Genomic DNA, 19,455 nt, shown 5'->3' with positions numbered 1-19,455 from the left:
CCTAGCTATTCAGGAGGCTGAAGAGGGAGGATCACTTGTAAGAGCCCAGGAGTTTGAGGCTGCAGTGAGCCATGGTCACGCCACTGCACTCCAGTCTGGGCAACAGAGAGAGACCCTGACACTAAACAAACAAACAAAACCTCTAATAGGTAATACAATTTACATTTGTGTTTCCTGGGGCTGCTGGAACAAATTTATCACAAACTCAGTGGTTTAAAACAACAGAAATTTATTCTCACAGTTCCCTGGAGACCAGAAGTCCAAAATGAGTGTTACTACACCAAAATCAAATTGTTGGTGGGATGCTTCATCCTCCAGAATTTCTAGGAGAGAATCTGTTCCTTGACCCTTCCTTTTTTTTTTTTTTTTTTTTTTTTTTTTTTTGTGGCTACTGATATTCCTTGGTTTGTGGCTGCATCACTCCAGTCCTCACCTTCATGATCACACTGCCTTCTCCTCTTCTGTCTGCAATCTCCCTGCCTCTGATTAAAGACACTTGTGATTGCATTTAGGACCTACCTAGATAATCCAAGAAAATCTCCCCATCTCAAGATCTCCAATTTAATCACATCTGCAAACACCTCATTTCCACGTAAGGTAACATAGGGTTCATGGATTAGGACCTGATGTCTTGGGGGCCATTATTCAGCCTACTACAACATATATTTATATACTTGTGCCTGGATGAGTTCTCAGTACTTTAAGTGTCTTAACTTCCTCTCAAACAATATATGACATAGGTGCTATTATTTCCATTTTTCAGATGGTAAAGCTGAGGCAGAGAAAGGCTATAAAAATTTGCCCAGGCTTTATCATACTCGCATGTTCTTTGACCACATGCAATTAGTTAGAACAAAAGCTATTTTTAAACTTTCTATTCTGAAATGATTCCAGATTTACAGTAAATCTGCAAAACAGTACAAAGTATCCATATACCTCCACATAGATTTTCCAAAGGTTAACATCTGACCCCATTTACTCTACCATTTTCTCTCTCTATAATTTTTCCTAAACCTTTTGTGATTCAGTTGCATATCAATATTCCGTTAACCCTAAACGCTCCAGTGTCTATTTCCTAAAAAACAAGGACTTTTTCAAGGAACCATGACATTATTATCAAAATCAGGAAGTCACACTGATATAATGCTATTAATAATTTACAGACCTTACTCAAATTTTACCGAATGTCTCAAAAATGTCCGAAAGAACAAAAGTTTAAAAAATGCTTTCTTGACCAAGATCCAGTCCAGAAACACGTGCTGCAGGTACTTGTCACGTCACTTTAGTCTCCTTTAACTTGAAATTTTTGAGAAGTATAGGCTGGTAACTTTGTAGGATATTCCTCATTTTATCTTTTTCTGATATTTCTCTCTACTATGTTCATGTTATGCATTTTTGGCAGGAATATCACATAATTAATGTTGTGTCTTCAGCACATTTTATCAGGATTCACAAAATATAAAATTGTCTTATTAATAGTGATATTAACATTACAAAATTTTTTTGAAAAGGAAATACATTTATAAAACTCTTAAGTCTGTGCATTTAAAAATACTGTAAAATAATTAACAGGTCAAATAAATCATAATGTAAAGATATGAATGGAAAAGCAATAAAAATGTGTATATATACATGTTTGTATACATGCATACACTCAATCATGGGGTGAGGCAAAGGAGGTAATTCAAATAAACTCAGATACTTACTAAAAATAGAAAAAACCTTGAACATGAATGAGTTAAATGTCCAATTTATGAAATGAGAAAACAACAGAACAAACCATCAGAAAGCAGAACATAAAAGAGAAGGGCAGAGAGAATGAACAAAGCTAAGACTGGTTCTTTAAAAAAATAAAATAGACAAACTTCTGGTAAAACGGCCAAGGAAAAGAAAGTGAGAAGATACAAACAGTATCGGAAAAGGAAGTATGCATATCCAGGAGAGGTTTAGAAATAAGAAAATTCCTTAAGCTACTTTATGCTAATAAATTGTAAAATGGGTAAATGCTTAGATTTTTTTTCAAAATTGACTCAAGAAAAAAAAATAGAATTCCTGAATAGTCTAATTATAGTAGTTAAAGTCTTCCCACCAATAAATACCAGGGCCAGACAGCTTTATAAACTTTTAACAAACAGATCATTCCAATCTTTTGCAAATTCTTATGGAGAACAGGAAAAAAGGCAACACTTTCCAATTCATTTAATGGAGTTATAATCTTGACACCATAAACTGACCAAAAAAGTGTAAGAAAGGCAGACTGCAGGCCAATTTCATGTAGATGCAAGAATCCCAGGTAAAATACTTGAAACAAACTGATTTCAGTAGTGTATAAAGATAAGGAAATATAACCAAGAATGGAGAAGTGATTCTTGTCTACTCTAGTCTTTCTGTGTTCAATCCTTTTTTTTTTCTTTTCTTTCTTTTTTTTTCTTTTTGAGATGGTGTCTCACTCTGTCGCCTAGGTTGAAGTGCAGTGGCACAATCTCGGCTCACTGCAACCTCCGCTTCCCAGGTTCAAGGGATTCTCCCACCTCAGCCTCCTGAGTAGCTGGGACTACAGGTGTGCACCACTGAGCCCAGCTAATTTTTGTATTTTTTTTAGAGGCAGGGTTTCACCATGTTGGCCAGGCTGGTCTTGAACTCCTGACCTCATGATCAGCCGGCCTCAGCCTCCCCAAAGTGCTGGGATTACAGGCATGAGCCACTGCGCCTGGCCCGTCTGTGTTCAAATCTTATCTAGTATGCATTAGAACATAAAATCAAGTCAACATAAAGTTAAGTCTGAAATTTTTACTTGACTATTTTGAAGGTTTGGAGTATACTGTTTTCTCTTTTAACATAATTTTTCTTTTCATGTGCCTAGAAAAATACATTTTTACGTCATCACCTTCACCCTGGAGTGTCAAATACAAGTGGGTGCTTGCCAAGTTGAAGCAATCAAAGCCACAGCTCAGAAGTTTTGAAATTCTTAAGGGATTTTCTAGCCAGAATTACAACTGCTTTCTTTTTTTGAGACAGGGTCTTACTATGTCACTCAGACTGGAGTGCAGTAGTAGTTCAATCATAGCTCACGGTAGCTTCTAATCCCTGGGCTCAGGCAATCCTCCTGCCTCAGCCTTCCAAGTAGCTGGGACTACAGGTGCGTGCCACCACACCTGGCTAATTTTTTATTTTTTAATTTTTTTGTAGAGACAAGAGCTTGCTACGTTGCCCGGGCTGGGCTTGAACTCCCGGGCTCAAGCAATCCTCCTGTCTCAGCCTCCCAAAGCATTGAGTTTACAGGTGTAAGCCACTGTGCTTAGCCTACAACTATTTTCTAACTGGGATAAAAGAAAAAGAGAGTATTTTGTATACTTGCAAGAGAATCCCTCCTCTATCTACCACCACTACACTAAAACCAACTCACCAACCAACCAACCAACCAACTAACCAACCAATGTGTGAAAGCAGATAAAATACTGTCCAGGTCATTGTGGTGTCACCATTTCTACAATGAAATGAGAGGAAAAAAGGGCAAACAATGTGTTTTTCATAAAGCTATATATTTATTCAACTTAAATGACAACCTTTATTCTGAGATTACATTCTTCCTAATTTTAGGGGCTAAAATATATTTTCTTTTACATAATGATGCTGATAGCAGATGGCTATTTGTTTTTGTTTGTTTATTTTTGTTTTATGTCCTTAGCTGGCAAAATTAAAAGCCAGAAGCTAAGGCCCCATTTTTTTTTCTTTTAATACAAATCTACTGGTGCTGAAAACTCAGAGCTTAGGAAACACAGCCTAGGTAAAGACCAATCTTCTTGCTGCATATTTCACAGTATTGAATTCTTTCTTGGTGAGTTCTCCATACAAGTTATGAAGCAGGATAAAAGTCAGTCTTATATTAAGTCATTGTAAATACGGCCTTAATTTCAATCACCAAAGAAATGTATTTTTGTTGTATACCATGGTTGCAGCATGTTTTATTAAAACTAATTATATCAATAGCTACCTGTAGAGTATCAACTTAAAAATTATAATGCCATTTCTATGAAGTCATTACTTTTATAGGACTAGCCTGTGTCATATGTGTGATCAATATTGGTTTAATGCAGAAACAAAGGCAGCTGGGTGTCCAAGCAAGCCACTTTTCTGGGTCAGGGTTTCAGTGGTACCATAGATGGCTGCCAGTCTCAATGTACACTTTGGCCCATTTATCTTTATAAATCATACCATATAGCTTCGATATTTACATACATTTAAACTGAGAAGAAATATGCATTATAAGAAAGCATAGTTTAGTGGGCTTCATGTGTCAGAAATAATTCCATATTTCACAATTATTTTCATGTCATTAGCTACCCTTGATAAAGAACAATTCCATATAAATGTACAAACTGGAAGATAATTTTATAAAACCGTAAAGAGATCTTTGTAAATTGCAGTGTGTCTGCTTATAAACAAATCAAATCGATCTCCATTTCTTCAAGTGTCAAAAACAAAAGAGTAGCTGGACATTGGTTTTTATAATCAGTTTCAGAGAAAATACAGGAATAATGATCAATGGCATTTTGAAGCAGATAAAACTGCCAAGTTTTATGCTTGAGTCTATCATTCTGTGATTTGCTATAATAGTATTCCTTTCTATTAGGTGTTCCCGACAATATTAGTTCTATATTCATTTGATATGAGCATTTATATTAAACTTCAAAATTACCTCGGATAGTATCCAGAATATATGTCAGAAACCCCTAAAAGCAACTTCTATTTTCCTCTTAATTAAGATAATATTTAGTCATGTTAATAACTATTGAAATGACAAGGTCAGATTTTCAAAACCAGTAGGGTGCTTTGCAGTGAACGTGCATATGCTGGAGCATCTGGCCAAGTTACAATGCAGTTATCAATGCTTAGTTCTTCTTGGTTTTCTTCAGATAGTGAGCCCGTGTAGACTTGTTCATATTCATGACTATTTTCAAATAAATCCAAGAAGGCAGGTTTGAGATTATCGAGCCCTAGGGAAACAGAATGAGAGAGATATGTAATTATAGCCTACAATTTGGGCTAAATTGAAGCATATGATTTAATGTTTTATTATAGTGTTGTTTTTATTTATAGGTAGATTTTAAAGTTCTTGGGTATACGACCATTATAATTATAACAAGATATAGATATCTTGTTACTATGGCTGGACAATGTATATGTGCTAATCTATTACATACTATCCTGTAACTCAATGGGAAAGAAACCCCAAGCCAGAAAGTATTGATTTGTGATTCAAAAAATCTACCTACCATAAGAGCATGGATCAGGTATCCATTGGTTCGGGATTGCAGGCCGACTGTTTTAATTGCAGACTTCACAAACGTCTCCGGAGAGGGCTTATCCAAAGTTGGCTTCCGGATTTTAGCCAGTTTTGTAGCTACGAAGTATGGCAGGACACTCTAGAAAGGGAACACCCACCCCAGAAAACATGCCATTGATTAGTAAGGCCACAAACTCAGAATGTACAGTGGTGCTTGACTGCTCTTAGTGGTAGAAACATCTGTATCTTTACAGAGAGAGAAGAAAAGAGAAGTGGCTATCTAAAGCCAACTTGATAGAACACATGATACCATAAAACAAATTGTAACAAATCAATCTCTCAATAAAACAGAGTTTGAGACCAGAGAAAGTATTAAAAATAAGCAGAAATCTACCTTTTTGAACCTTTAAAAAGGAAAGCATTAAATAATCCAGAGAGCACAGATTCAGGATAGGATACTTTTCACACTTAGTAAACTCAACATTGAGACAGAACCACCAAGTAGGAGATCTTTGATACTTTATTCTTCTAATGGGATAATGCCAACTTTCTCCATAATTTATGGCTAATTAAGCTTGTTCTATCAGCTTTGATCCTTCTAAAATAGACATCTTATTTCTCAGACTTGCGTTACTACTTTTCTTCCCTAGTTTCTCACCATTCTACTTCTGAGTTTTATAAACAATTTTATTGATAAGATAGAACCACCTCCCTTTTTTTCTTTTTTAGAAGAAACACAGTCTAACAATATGGAAACTGTTTGGGTAACTAAAAGACACCTGACTGGATGGGTGTAGGGTGACAAATCTGGACATGACCTTTAGAGGAACTTCAATAATGTTAGGTTCTTTATTGCTTAAGCTTGCTGCATTTTGGATGTGATTCAACACAGAGTATAAGGAAACCCTATTGTAACAAGTCCTGAGTCATGATACAAGAGGTCCTTCTGTAGTTTGAAATAACCTGGGCATGGTAGTTCAACAAAGAGTGAATGTATTGTTTATCTCACATGTGTGAAGTATCACTGCAATGATACTTCTTTTTTTCTTTTTCTTCTTTTTTTTTTGAGGCAGGGTTTTGCTTGTTGCTTAGGCTGGAGTGCGGTGGCACGATCATAGCTCACTGCAGCCTTGAGCTCTTGGGCTCAAGGGATCCTCCTGTCTCAGCCTTCTGAGTAGTTGGAACCACAGGTGTGCACCACCATGCCCAGCTAATTTAAAATTTTTTTTGTAGAGACAAGGTTTCAACATGCTGCCCAGGCTGGTCTCAAACTTCTGGGCTCATGTGATCCTCCCACTTCAGCCTCCCCAAGTGTCGGGATGACAGGTGTGAGCTACCACGCTTGGCCCAATGACACTTCCATTAAAGAAAAGGAATGGTTCTAACACATGGTGGTCAAAATCTTAAAATTTCAATCAAATTGAGATCTGTTCCATTCTATGGATTTCCGTCCTGCTGAGACCTAGAAGGAGTGGTCCCATGTCTCTGGTTTTTTTTTTTTTTTTTTTTTTTTTTTGAGACAGAGTCTCAGCGAGAGTCCCCAAGCTGGAGTGCAGTGGCGCGATCTCTGCTCACCACAAGTTCCGCCTCCTGGGTTCACACCATTCTCCTGCCTCAGCCTCCCCAGTAGCTGGGACTACAGGCGCCCGCCACCACGCCTGGCTAATTTTTTGTATTTTTAGTAGAGACAGGGTTTCACCATGTTAGCCAGGATGGTCTCGATCTCCTGACCTTGTGATGCACCCACCTCGGCCTCCAAAGTGCTGGGATTACAGGCGTGAGCCACCGCGCCCGGCCGTCTCTGGGTTTTTATGTACGTGTGTGCTTTGCATTTTTCCCACTCCGAAGTCTAAGTCAAGGAATGCAACCCACTCTCCTTGACAGGTTAGATGAAACCTCAGCCTCTTCATTAGAACCAAGAACCCCAGATGGAGTGCTGTCACTCTCTATCTTCCTCTTTCCTTGTTGCTGCAGCCACAGACTCATACTAAGTATGAAGTACTTCAATATTTGAGCCAACTTTGATTAGGTAACTTTTGATTTCTGAGAATTTGTTTATTGGGATTATCACTATATATTTATCCCTCACTTAGAAAAAAAAATTTTTTGTCACATCTTTTAAGGACCATTTTGCCACAAGGATATAGTCTATGAGAGCACACACTAGGGTGAGATCTCCGACTCAGACTGAGTAGGAAATGCAGAGTTCAGTGAGGCTCTCACAATGGGTCAGTAAAGAAAAGGTTATTTCCCAGAGTAAAGTTGAGCAGTAAGGAAAGAAAGAGTATATGTAAATACTCTGATCTCACATAATGAAGGAACATAAGCAAACCATTTCTCATTTCTATGCATTAGGTTTAAAGGTCACAAAATAGTGAAGATTAAAAAAAAAAACCCAAATATAGATCACAAGCCTGGTAAAGGTATTGTAAGATTTTGAGCTTCTAGAGGTAGAGATGGTCTAATCATTATACCTCTCAACTGCGTTATAATTTTTTGTTCCTTTCGTCCATCCTTTTTGCCATCTTCTTCCCTCCCTTCGTATGTAACATGGTATAAATTGGACTACTTTGATCTTGTAGGAGAATTAAGTTGCACTGCCTGACTGAACCACTTGGTGGTGCCACAAGTTAACTCTTCATGCAGCTAAACCATAGAGCTAGTCTAGAGAACCCCCAGATCAAGGGGTGGGGACAAGAGATGCATACTCAGGAATTCCAAGTTGGGTTATGTTTTTCCAGCTAAGAAATGTAAATTCTTTTCTAGAAAGTATATTTATTTCCACGATGGTTTAAAATCAAGGCAGTTAACATGGCCTAGTGGAGGGTTCAAAGACGAAACAGCGTTTGAGCTAAGTCTTAAATGAAGTGCAAGAATTTCCCTAATTGTAAACAAATAAGGGAACAGCAGGAGCCAAGAAAAGGAGCCACAGAAGAGCATGATGTTTTTCAGGGAACTGCATAGCTCAGGATGGTTCAAATGTTGGAAATGTGTGAAGAGTGGCAGGAGGGAGGCAAAACGGTACAGAAAACTGAATCCAATCACTGGGCAGTATCCATTTCTAGAACACAAGCTCCATGAAGGCTTGGTCATATTCATATATTTTAATGTTTTAGAACAGTACTTGGTACATAGCAGGGGTACAATTAATATCTATTGAATGAATTGGTGAAAGACACTTCATTATGGACAGCACCGAAGAAGAGTACTGGGGTCTCTTTCCACTGCTATGATCCAGAAAATTAATTACACCAAGAAGTTGATAATATGAATGTTTAAGCCAAAATTTTAGAAATTCTGAAGCATATATAAGAGCACCTATCTAAACAGGCATACTTATAGCTACTTGCCAATGATTTAAAAATAAATATTCCAAGTTATATGAAAGTAAAGAAATATCTTAGATATCAAAAAGCCATCTAGGTACACCCTTCAACTGTTAAATAAAAACCCAACAAGGGATAATTAGTTGATTTCTCCTGCTTACTCAGGAAAACATTATGGGAAACAGGTCAAGAAGATACTCATACTTTTATAGGAAATTGTGGGCAGAACAGATTTTTCAAGTTGCTCAATTTCAACAAGTTCCCATTACAAATATTGCCAGCTCAGAAACAACCTGACCTTGAGAGCTGCAGATGTGGGCAAGTATCCTGGTCTTCAAATTTAGCATTCCCACATGGCAAATAATTAATTAGGCCATAAAGCAAAGCTGTTGGTGCTTCCTTGCTCAGCCTATTTTAAAACAATAAAAATAAAAAAAATAAAATCACTGGAGACAACTTGGTATCTTGAGATGGAGCCTCGCTCTGTCACCCAGCCTGGAGTGCAGTGGCGCCATCTCGGCTCACTGCAACCTCCACCTCCCTGGTTCAAGCAATTCCCCTGCCTCAGCCTCCTGAGTAGCTGCGATTACAGGCGCCTGCCACCACGCCCGGCTAATTTTGTATTTTTAGTAGAGATGGAGTTTCTCCATGTTGGCCAGGCTGGTCTCGAACTCCCGACCTCAGGTGATCCGCCTGCCTCAGCCTCCCAAGTGCTGGGATTACAGGCATGAACCACCGCACCAGGCCCGACAACTTGGTATCTTTTTTCTCACCCACTGGAGCAGCTTGCTTAGATAACTGGACTGCACAGTACAATTCAGGGGGCTTGATTCAGAAGAGGAAGGCTTATGGCCATGGAGTAGTGGAAAGAAAGATGCCTGAAACTGCATGGCAGATATTCAAGAATCAGGGATTGAACCTTGGAACTTAACATGGTAGGGCATCTTTCAGGTGTCATCATCTGTGTACTAAACATGCTTTTCAACTGAAAAATGACCAGAACATCAGATGACAATGACCTGGGAAAATGAAGACCCAGAATACACTAGGGTCTAGTGTATTTGCACAGTATGAGATTTCATACATGGTGTCACATCTGCCTTTACCGAGCATTAAATTCAACCGTGTAGCCAGCACACACTCTTAAGGCAGAAGCTGGGGCTCCTATGAAGAATATTAGGAAAACTCCATTTCCTGAAATCTGTGTATTCATCTACGATTTCAGGATCTGGTATACAAAAACTTAAATAATTATACACCTATATTATAGTTTTGGAGTGCGTATTACTTTACTTGCAGACCACGAAATTAGCTTTTCCATATAAAGGCCCTTGATTATCTACTTGGCAGAAACCCTTAGACTTTCTAGAAATTTTAGGAAAAAGGAGTTGTTCTGCTGGTGCAGAGATCCCTGGTTATATAGCAATGAAAAAAGGCCCTGCAATAACAATACATATAAATCTTAGCATCTAAATCCAAAATGAAGGAGTTCAAAGTATTGTGCTCTACACAAAGATCCTTGATAAATGTTGGCTGATAATCTTGTAAATAACCTACCTCCAAAGATGTGGAATTTGTATGTTAACATTCAAGGAACAAAAAGAAAAACAGTGTAATCTCACAAAAGGCATTCACTTAACACTAAACTATTTCCTGAGCACCTACTAGAACAATGTTTTAGGCATGGGAACTTAATGAATAAAATTCATTGTGAATAAAAACAGAGTCCCTAATCTTACAGAGCTTACATTTCAGTAGGAGGATATAGACCACAAACAAATAATAATTAAAACAAAGGTGTACAGTATTGGCAGGCAATGATAAAAAAGCAAGATGAAAAAAATACCTGGGTAAAAGAGCTGATAGAGGCTGAGCCTGCAGGTGAGTTCTCAAGAAAGGCCCCTTTGATGTGGTGACTTATAACCAAAGATCTGAACAAAGAGATGGAGTTGGCCAAAAGAATATCTGGGTGAAGAGCCTTTGAGACTGAAGGAACAAGTGCAAAGGCCCTGAGGTGAAGGCATCCTCAAAGTGTTTCCAGAATTGGAAGGAGGCCACAGAAGTAGGAAGGTGGGGAGGGGACATGATAACGTGGAAGTTTGAAATCAGAACATTGAGGGTCATAAAAACTCATGGTTTCATTGTGAAAGAGATGAGAAGCCAAGGAAGAATTTTTAGCATAGCAGTGAAGTAACTGGATTTTTTTGTTTTGTTTTGTTTTGTTTGAGATAGTCTCGCTCTGTCACCCAGGCTGGAGTGCAGTGGTGCGATCTCAGCTCACTGCAACCTCCACCTCCCGGGCTCAAGCCATCCTCCCACCTCAGCCTCCCAAGTATCAAGGACCACAGGTGCACACCACCATGCCTGGCTAATTTTTTAATTTTTTTGTAGAGACAGGGTTTCACCATGTTGCCCAGACTGGTCTTGAACTCAATGAGCCCAAGCAATCCATACATCTCAGCCTCCCAAAGTGTTGGGATTACATGTGTGAGTCACTGTGCCCAGCTGGATTTTATTTTAAAGAGATCATTCTGGCTGCTATGAGTAGGCTATAGGGGCTGTTAAACCACGATGGGTGTAGGAAGGCCAGATAGTAAGATACTGCAAAATGTCCAGGACAAGCTATGATGGTGGCTCAGATAGAGTGGTAGTAGTGGAGGTCATGAGAAGTAGTCAAATAGTGGGTATGCTGCAAGGATTTCCTAAAGGATTAAGTTTGGGATGTGAAAATAGAGGTGGTAGGGTAACAGGAAAAAAAAATCAGCATTGGTTATAATCAGACCAACTTGGATTCAAATTCCAGCTTGACCACTTACTAGTTGTGTGATCTTGAGCAAAACACTCAATGACTGAGCCTTAGTTTCTTCCTCTGTAATTAGAGGCTATAGAATCTTCCTTATTATACTATCATGAGAATTAAATAAAATATTATCAGTTAAAGAGTGTGGGATTTGAAACTTTAGTATGTATTAGCAATTATTTTCTAAGTTTTCCAAAATCTATATTTTTAGAATGAATTTGGAAAGAAGAGCTTGGCTGACTTTTTATATCCAATAAGACGCATAAGAATGCCATTTTCCATGGAGAATATCTGACTGTTGAGGTAACCAACTGAATATCTTAGTTCTCCTGGACACACATGTAATGGTTTGGAGGGACCTCTTAAGCTTGTAGGTCTTGTGGTACAACACTGTTGTAAATGGCCAAGAAAAAAGGAGATCACTGAAAAAATCGAGATTCAGCTGGTTGGAAGGGATCTGAGTCCAATGAGCCCAAAAGGACTAATTTTACTATTCTTAAGCCATTTTTCAAAATTGGTATAGTTGGCCATACATGAACATTTCCAGCGAGAATCTTTATATTGCTTTATAACTCTCCCTATTTAGACTCCATATGCACAAAAGACACACTCTATTAACTCCTTTCATAGTCACTGGCAATTAACAGGAAGAAAGGATGGAGACTTATATTTGTAATCCCGGTAGCCGTTTCTCAATATTTAGCTTTCTAGTTCTTTGAAGCCCAATAGAACTATATGAATACCCTAAGCAATAAAATACTGTAACAAAAATACAAAGAAGGAATATCTTCTTTCATTAAAAAATTCTTAAATTGTGTTTTCTCTCATCTCAATTTGTCCTATTTGTTTTCTAAATTTCATGGATTAACCCAAATCAAGTCTATTCTGATTAAAAACTACACTTTTACCTGAACTAACAAAACCACCAACTCTCATCACCAAGACAAAGGCACTGGAAAGTAGTAACAAGCAAATGGAGCCTAGAGGATTTCTCTTTTTTTTTTTTTTTTTTGTGAGGCAGAGTCTTGCTCTGCCACCCATCACCGAGGCTGGAGTGCAGTGACACCATCACAGCTCACTGCACCTTCAACCTCCTGGGCTCAAGTGATTCTCCTGTCTCAGCTTCCTGAGTGGCTGGGACCACAGGCATGCACCACCACGCCCAGCTAATGTATTTCTATTTTTTGTAGAGACAGTGTCTCACTATGTTACCCAGGCTGGTGTTAAACTCCTGGGCTCAAGCGACCCTCCTGCCTTGGCCTCCCAAAATGCTGGGATTATAGGCGTGAGCCACCGTGCATGGCGCCCAGAGGATTTCTTCAGGACAATAAGTTCAAATGTAAATGGAGTATTCTTTTGTAATCTCCTGCTAAGAATGAAAAAGTCCACTTCATTTTCAGGGCAGCTGAAAGTTCTCTGGGTTTAGATGGCCTCTATCTGCATCCCCACCTTTCTTCTGGTAAAGAAAACCTCAGGGGATGGTGTCCCTTGGCAGATGATCTCCTTGTTAAGAGCATTTCCAGAGACCCGGCCTCCCAGGTCAAAGGAAGGAAACTGCGTGACGGAGAGCAACACCTCTTTGAGAAACAGGATGGCACTGCAGACGGAGTTACTCACACCAAGATCAGTACATTCTCTCTACACTTCCCCATGTTCTTGAACATATCACTCTTTTTTAGTTTCTTCTCGAGAACGTATCACTCTATACAATTGTCTTATTTGTGGATTTGTTTAATGTCTGTCTCCCTCCCAATAAATGTAAATTCAACCACAGCAGAGGCTCTGTGTGCCTTTTGCCAGATTATTAGGTGCTTTCTAAATATTTCTTGACTGAAGACATGTGGAACATGATATATACCTCCAGTTTTGGACTTACTGTGGGTGTAATGTGTTTAAATATTTGTCTTTTGTGTGTGTGTGCCTTCAGCACAGGGACTGGGTCTTATTTACCTTTGTTTCCTAGATGTCTAGCCAAGGGTCTAATAAATAGCAGGCAGGAGCTGTTTGATAAACTAAATTGACTTTAAGCAAGTTTCAGGACTCCTCTTTATTTTTATTTTTTTGAGACAAAGTCTTGTTCTGTTGCCCAGGCTAGTATGCAGGGGTGTGATCTCAGCTCACAGCAACCTCTGCCTCCCAGGTTAAAACCATTTTCATGCCTCAGCCCCCTACAGTAGCTGGGTTTATAGGCATGCACCACCACACCTGGCTAATTTTTGTATTTTTAGGAGAGACGGGATTTCGCCATGTTGGCCAGGCTGGCCTTGAACTCCTGACCTCAAGTGATCTGCCTGCCTCAGCCTCCCAAAGTGCTGGGATTACAGGTGTGAGCCACCGTGCCCAGCACAGGGCTCCTGTTGATCCTGTTTCCTATTTGTAAAATGGGACTAGGTTAATATCTATGTAAAATGAGTTGACAAATGAGGTGAAAACTTGGGCATATTGTAGATATCCAATGAATATAAGTCTCTTTCCTCTCTTCTTCACCCTTATATATCATTTCCCAGCTTGGAGTGCTTTTATCTCACATCACTTATCCCACTTGCCAGAAGGGGAGATTAAGGCATAAAGTAATGAAGCAACTTTCTGTAGGTCAGATGATCACCGGATGTTGAAGGCAGAACTCAAACCTTGGTCTGCTGACTCCAAGCTCAGTGTCCTTTCCTCTCTGCCTCAAGGCACACCGATGACCAATGCAGTTTTCATAAAACCACAGCCTGGACTGAGGACACTGTGACCATGCTTTAGCTGTGACTTTTCATTTTGAAATGACGAAATATCCAGGCAGGGCTTCAGGAATTCTTTAGCATCAAAAATCTCTTTATGAGGCAGGTTTGTGAAGAAACATCACTGATGCTACATCTAGGGGAAATTTTGATAAGGGCCAAAATATTTGCACAGTTTTAGGGTCTCCCCACAGTTGCTTGTTAGTGCAAGGGAAATAATAGTAATTATATGGCAGAGAAGTTGGGTAACACCTAGAGTGGGGGATCAGAAACATCGCCACCAATGAAGAGCAGATGGATCTTCTGTGTCTCCCCACGTGAGGCCCTGACGACACAACATCACATACATATGTGATATTTTGGCCCGGAAAGCATAATCCGAATCTCACTTTTGGGTTTCTCTAAGGAAGCATCAAAGAAACCCCAAATGAGGAATGTATAATTAAAAAGGAGGAATACTGTACTCTTAAAAAATGTCACTGTCATGAAACACAAAGGTTTTAGATATATCCCAGGTTAAAGGAAATAAAAGAGACAGGACAACTAAATATGACACCTGATCCTAGATTGCATTCTTTAGTGGAGGAAGAGGAGAGGATAAAGAATATTGTAAGATCAAAAATTGGGCACAAATAATACATTAGATAAAATTATTGTATCACTGTTAAATCTGAGTTGATACGGGTATTGTGGTTACATATGAGAATATCCTTATTCTGGTTGGGTGTGGTGGCTCACGCCTGTAATCTCAGCACTTTGGGAAGCCAATGCGGGAGAATTACTTGAGCTCAGGAGTTTGAGACCAGCCTAGGTGACAAAGTGAGACCCTGTCTCAACAAAAAATGCTAGGCTTGGTGGCATGTGCCTGCGGTCCTAGCCACACAGGAGGCTGAGGTGGGAGGATCACTTGAGCCTGGGAGGTCAAGGCTCTAGTGAGCCATGATAGCTCCACTACACTCCAGCCTGGGTGACAGAGTGAGAACCTGTCTTCAAACAACAAACAAACAAACAAACAAACAACCCCTTATTTTTCAGAAGTACACACTCAAGAATTTAGAATTGAAGGACCATAATGTTTGCACTTACTCTCCAATGATAAGACAAATGCGGTAAAATGTTAACAGTAAGAAATCTAAGCAAAGGGTATCAGAGTATTGTCTGCACTATTTTTATTCTTGTAACTTTTCTGTAGACTTGAAATTATTTCCAAATAATTTTTTTAAAAACAGAAGGCTTATGAAAATTTTGCAGAATAAGAGTTCAAGAGGTATAGTTTTAGGATTTAGTCTTAGTCTTAGCTACTTCCTGCTTGCTCAGTATTAACTGCTAGTCAGTACAGGGTAGACAGAAGGAGCCCAGGGCTAGGGCCCACTACCTAGCCAGTCAAATTACTTATAATAATTTTGCCTTTTGAAAGACACAAGTGTCTTTTTTTTTTTTTGACTGGACTTTAATTATAAGGTAATGAGAACAAACAGTCCTCATCAACAGACTACACTTATGATAAGGTTTCCTTGAGAATGTGCTTCTCATCCTCTGTTCAAAATCAAATAGTCTCTCAGGCCCATCATTCACCTCCAGGGCATTTACATCACTTGTTGTTGTTACTGTGTTTTTGCATTCCCAGGAAATGATTATATAATGGCAAATCTGAATTCTTGAAGGCAATTTTAAATGATCTTATAAAATTATAGGAAAGAAGTTAAGAAGTTGAGGGAAAGATGGGGAGAGAAATGCAAAAGAAAAATATTAAGAAGTAATCTGAAACAATCTAGAATTTGAACAATATACCCTCTTCCTTCCCCAAAAGAGCAATCTGATGTACATTCACACGGAGGTAGACCTAAAAAGATAGCATTCTTTGCAAGGCTTAGAAAAAAATGGAAACATGGCCACATAGCATTAGTCTAGAAGCCATTCAGATAAAGAGGCTGAAAATTCAAGGCCAGGAGCATATGGGAGCAATAGAAGAAGCTCAAAAAGCCATCAAAACAGATGCCTGTGTACCACAAAGCTTGACCATGCACAACCAGAGTTTTCTGTGATGCCATGGAAAAGGTGGGTCTCCCGTTTACCACAAACAACAAGTGCCGCCAGCAACACAGAGACAAATAAGATAAAAAGCCCTGTTCTCGAGAATACATGGAAGTGGGGAGACAGGGAAGGGCCAGACAGTAGCAGGCAGAGGTATACAAGGAGCTCCAACGAGAGCCCAAAGAAAGGCCTAACCAAATGTGCCAAGGAGCTGAGAGAAGGCTTTCCAGGGCAGGGGAACTGTGGCCCAAGCCTTGAGAGAGGGACAGCAGCCATAGGGTTCAGGTGCAAATAGGGCTGGGAGGAGATACAGTGAGAAGAACTGGAGAGGAGTTGGGGAAAGGATGCCAACAGAGGAGCCAGTCATGGGCACTTCAGAGGGCAGAGCATGTACTAGACACTGGGATGTCCACTCTGGCCTGAACGTCGGGGAGGACAATGGAGTGGCAAGAAAGGAGATGGCCTTGTGGAGTTCGAATTTAATCCTAAACCTTATGGGCAGCCACTGGAGGACTAGGAAGGAAAGCAACATTATCTGATTTGTATTTTAATAAGATCACCCAGGAAACATGTGTGGGCTGGAGTACGAGGCAGAATCAGCTGATAAATACTCCTAGTCCAAAAAATTTGTGGGCATAAACACCGCCAAAGAAAAACCAATCATTTTTAACTCTGAGCTTCATTTAGACTACATTTTTTTTGCCCCTTTGATCAGAATTAATAAGAGGTTCTCTTTCTATTCTACTTCAACATTCTGATGTATTCACACAGAATGACGACTGTGCTTTCCCTCACAAACATTTGAGTCTTTATTTTTTCATCAAATTCATTCAAAGTTTAAACCTTGAATGAATTCATATGACAAAACACAATGACAGATGAAATGACAGTTTATACTTCATTATTAGGGAAAAACAAAAGTTTATCAAAATAAAATATTTCAGAAGACAAATGCTAATGTGTTTTTACAGTAGCTTCTAGTCACACCAGATTACTAGGTGGAAAATCTGGAGAAAAGATCTTTGAGGGAAACAAGTTGTGAGAATGAGAGAGGAGACAGTCTTGCTTATTAACGGAATTTTAGAAATTGATTGTCTGTTCACAAGGCCTAATGCTACCTTCTGTCACTGAGACACTTACAGCTTCTGGTCACTCTGCTTATAGTCAATCACCAATGGACCTTTTTAGGATTCCTGCCTAGTCGCAATAGGTGTTTACAAACTATTCAGTTAATAGTGTAATTACAATTAGATTCATCAGAAAGAAAATGGTATACCATTGCCTGGCATGTGATACCTTCCCATGAATACCTTCTCATGGAATGTAATAGCTTCTCAAGAACATTTTACTGGTGTCCTTGTTACTAAAATACAACATATTCTACATAGAACATTCGCATTACTAACATTAAAATGACTGGTGTCAAGGAAAGGGGAAAAAGAGAGTACAGTAATTTAGTATAAAATCCAGGATTCTAGAACACATGTCCTTCCGAATGAAACCTATACATATGGGAAGCTGCAAGTCAGAAATAACACCAAGTGGCTATGACATCTAAGCTTCCCTTGGATGAAAGCTCAGGTCGGGGTTTAGAGGAAGCAGGCTCTTAGATGATCCTGGAAGATGAGGAAACAGTCATCCCCCCTTCCTTTCATTACCATTCTATCTCACAGTAGGTGACTTAGCTCCCACCAGTATCTACTCAATAAAAAGGTTTAGAAGCTACATCTACATGACATTTACACCCATCTTGATGCTCTACAGGCATAAAGGAGGAAATGGAACTAACCAACCACCTTCTGGTTCCATCACTCCCTGAGCACAGATGGATCCAGTAAGTGTTCAATGTTGACTTACAGGCCTGGAGCAAGTAGCCTAGTGGTTAAGAACAAAGGCTTTAGTGCCAAACAGACCCAGATTTGAGTCCCAGTTCAACATGGGCAAGTGGCTTACCCTCTCTAAGCCCCAATTTCTGCAATTAAAAATAATAATAATCATCATCACACCATTGTATGAGATTGTTATGAGATGCAGTGAAATGATACATATTAAAGTGTTTAGCACTGTACCTGAAAAGTATCCACTCAAATATTCACTATTATTATTTTGATCGATCATTTGTGGCTTCAGGATACAAAAAGTGAAATACTTGCCTCACAGGAATGAAAGCCACAATGAACACCAGACGTGCACAGAGGTGGGGTAGCTGATAGGCAGGAGCAGCAAAGAGGTACAAATTGCAACTTCTCCCAAGACATTTTTTAAAAGTGCCTGAGCATGGAAATACTATTTCTTTCAATTGAAGAATGGTTAATTTGAAATTGCCAACCATCAAAACTCCTATATTTGCTTTCTCTCATATTTTGTGTTTTCACAGCATTATATCTGCTAGCTACATAATAAACTCAAAGGTATATAAAAGTTAACTCAAAATGGATCAAAGAGCTAGAACTAGAAAACTCTTACAGGAAAACAGGGGAAAAGCTTCATGACACTGGATTTGGCAAGCATTTCTTGGATTTGACACCAAAAGCACCAGCAACAAAATAAAAAATAGATAAACTGGACTACATCAAAATTAAAAACTTTTGTGAATAAAAAGATATTATGCAGACTAAAGACAGAATAAAATGGCAACTCACGAAGTGGGAGAAAATCTTTGCAAATCATGTATCTAAAATGGGACAACATCCAGAATATATAGATCATTCCTACAACCCAATGACAAGAAACCAAACAACACGATTTTATTAAACATATGCAAAGGACTGGAATAGACATTTCTTCAAAGGTGATAGGCAAATGACCAAATAAACTCATGAAAAAATGCTCAATATCACTAATCATCAGGGAAAAGCAAATCAAAACCACAATGAGATACCACTTCATACCCGTTATGATGGCTATTATAAAAAACAAACAAAATAGAAAATAACAAGTGTTGGTGAAGATGTGGAGAAACTGGAACTCTGCACACTGCCAGTGGAAGTGTAAACTGGTGTAGCTGACATGGAAAATAGCTAAGTTCTTCAAAAAATTTAAAACAGAATTACCATATGACCCAGCAATTCCACTTCTGTATACATATACAAAAGAATTGAAAACAGAGTTTGCAAGAGATATTTGTACACTCATGCTCATATTAGCATTATTTACAATACCCAACAGGTAGAAACAACCCAGATGCCCACTAACATGTAAATGGATAAGCAAAATGTGGTCTATATACAATGGCATTTTATTCAGCCTTGAAAAGGAAGAAAATTCCGACACATACTTCAA

At 38.9% G+C, this 19,455-nt stretch overlaps 1 protein-coding gene across 7 annotated transcripts in view; it reads right to left on the bottom strand.

The window, feature by feature from the left end:
- Window positions 1-3,525: 3,525 nt before the first annotated feature.
- Window positions 3,526-19,455, bottom strand: part of HSD17B12 (hydroxysteroid 17-beta dehydrogenase 12) — a 299,895-nt gene continuing 283,965 nt past the window's right edge. For all 7 annotated transcript variants that reach the window (XM_024448573.2, XM_047427074.1, XM_024448571.2 and 4 more), the window contains 2 exons: window positions 5,277-5,426; window positions 3,526-4,997 (listed from right to left, as the gene is read on the bottom strand). In XM_024448573.2, the coding sequence (XP_024304341.1) occupies window positions 4,893-4,997; window positions 5,277-5,426 (255 nt within the window). In that variant the 3' untranslated portion in view covers window positions 3,526-4,892. The remainder of the gene's footprint in view (window positions 4,998-5,276; window positions 5,427-19,455) is intronic.

Source organism: Homo sapiens, chromosome 11, assembly GCF_000001405.40.
Source record: "Homo sapiens chromosome 11, GRCh38.p14 Primary Assembly".
In the NCBI taxonomy this organism is placed as follows: domain Eukaryota; kingdom Metazoa; phylum Chordata; class Mammalia; order Primates; family Hominidae; genus Homo; species Homo sapiens.
This window is presented reverse-complemented; position numbering and strand designations above follow the sequence as displayed.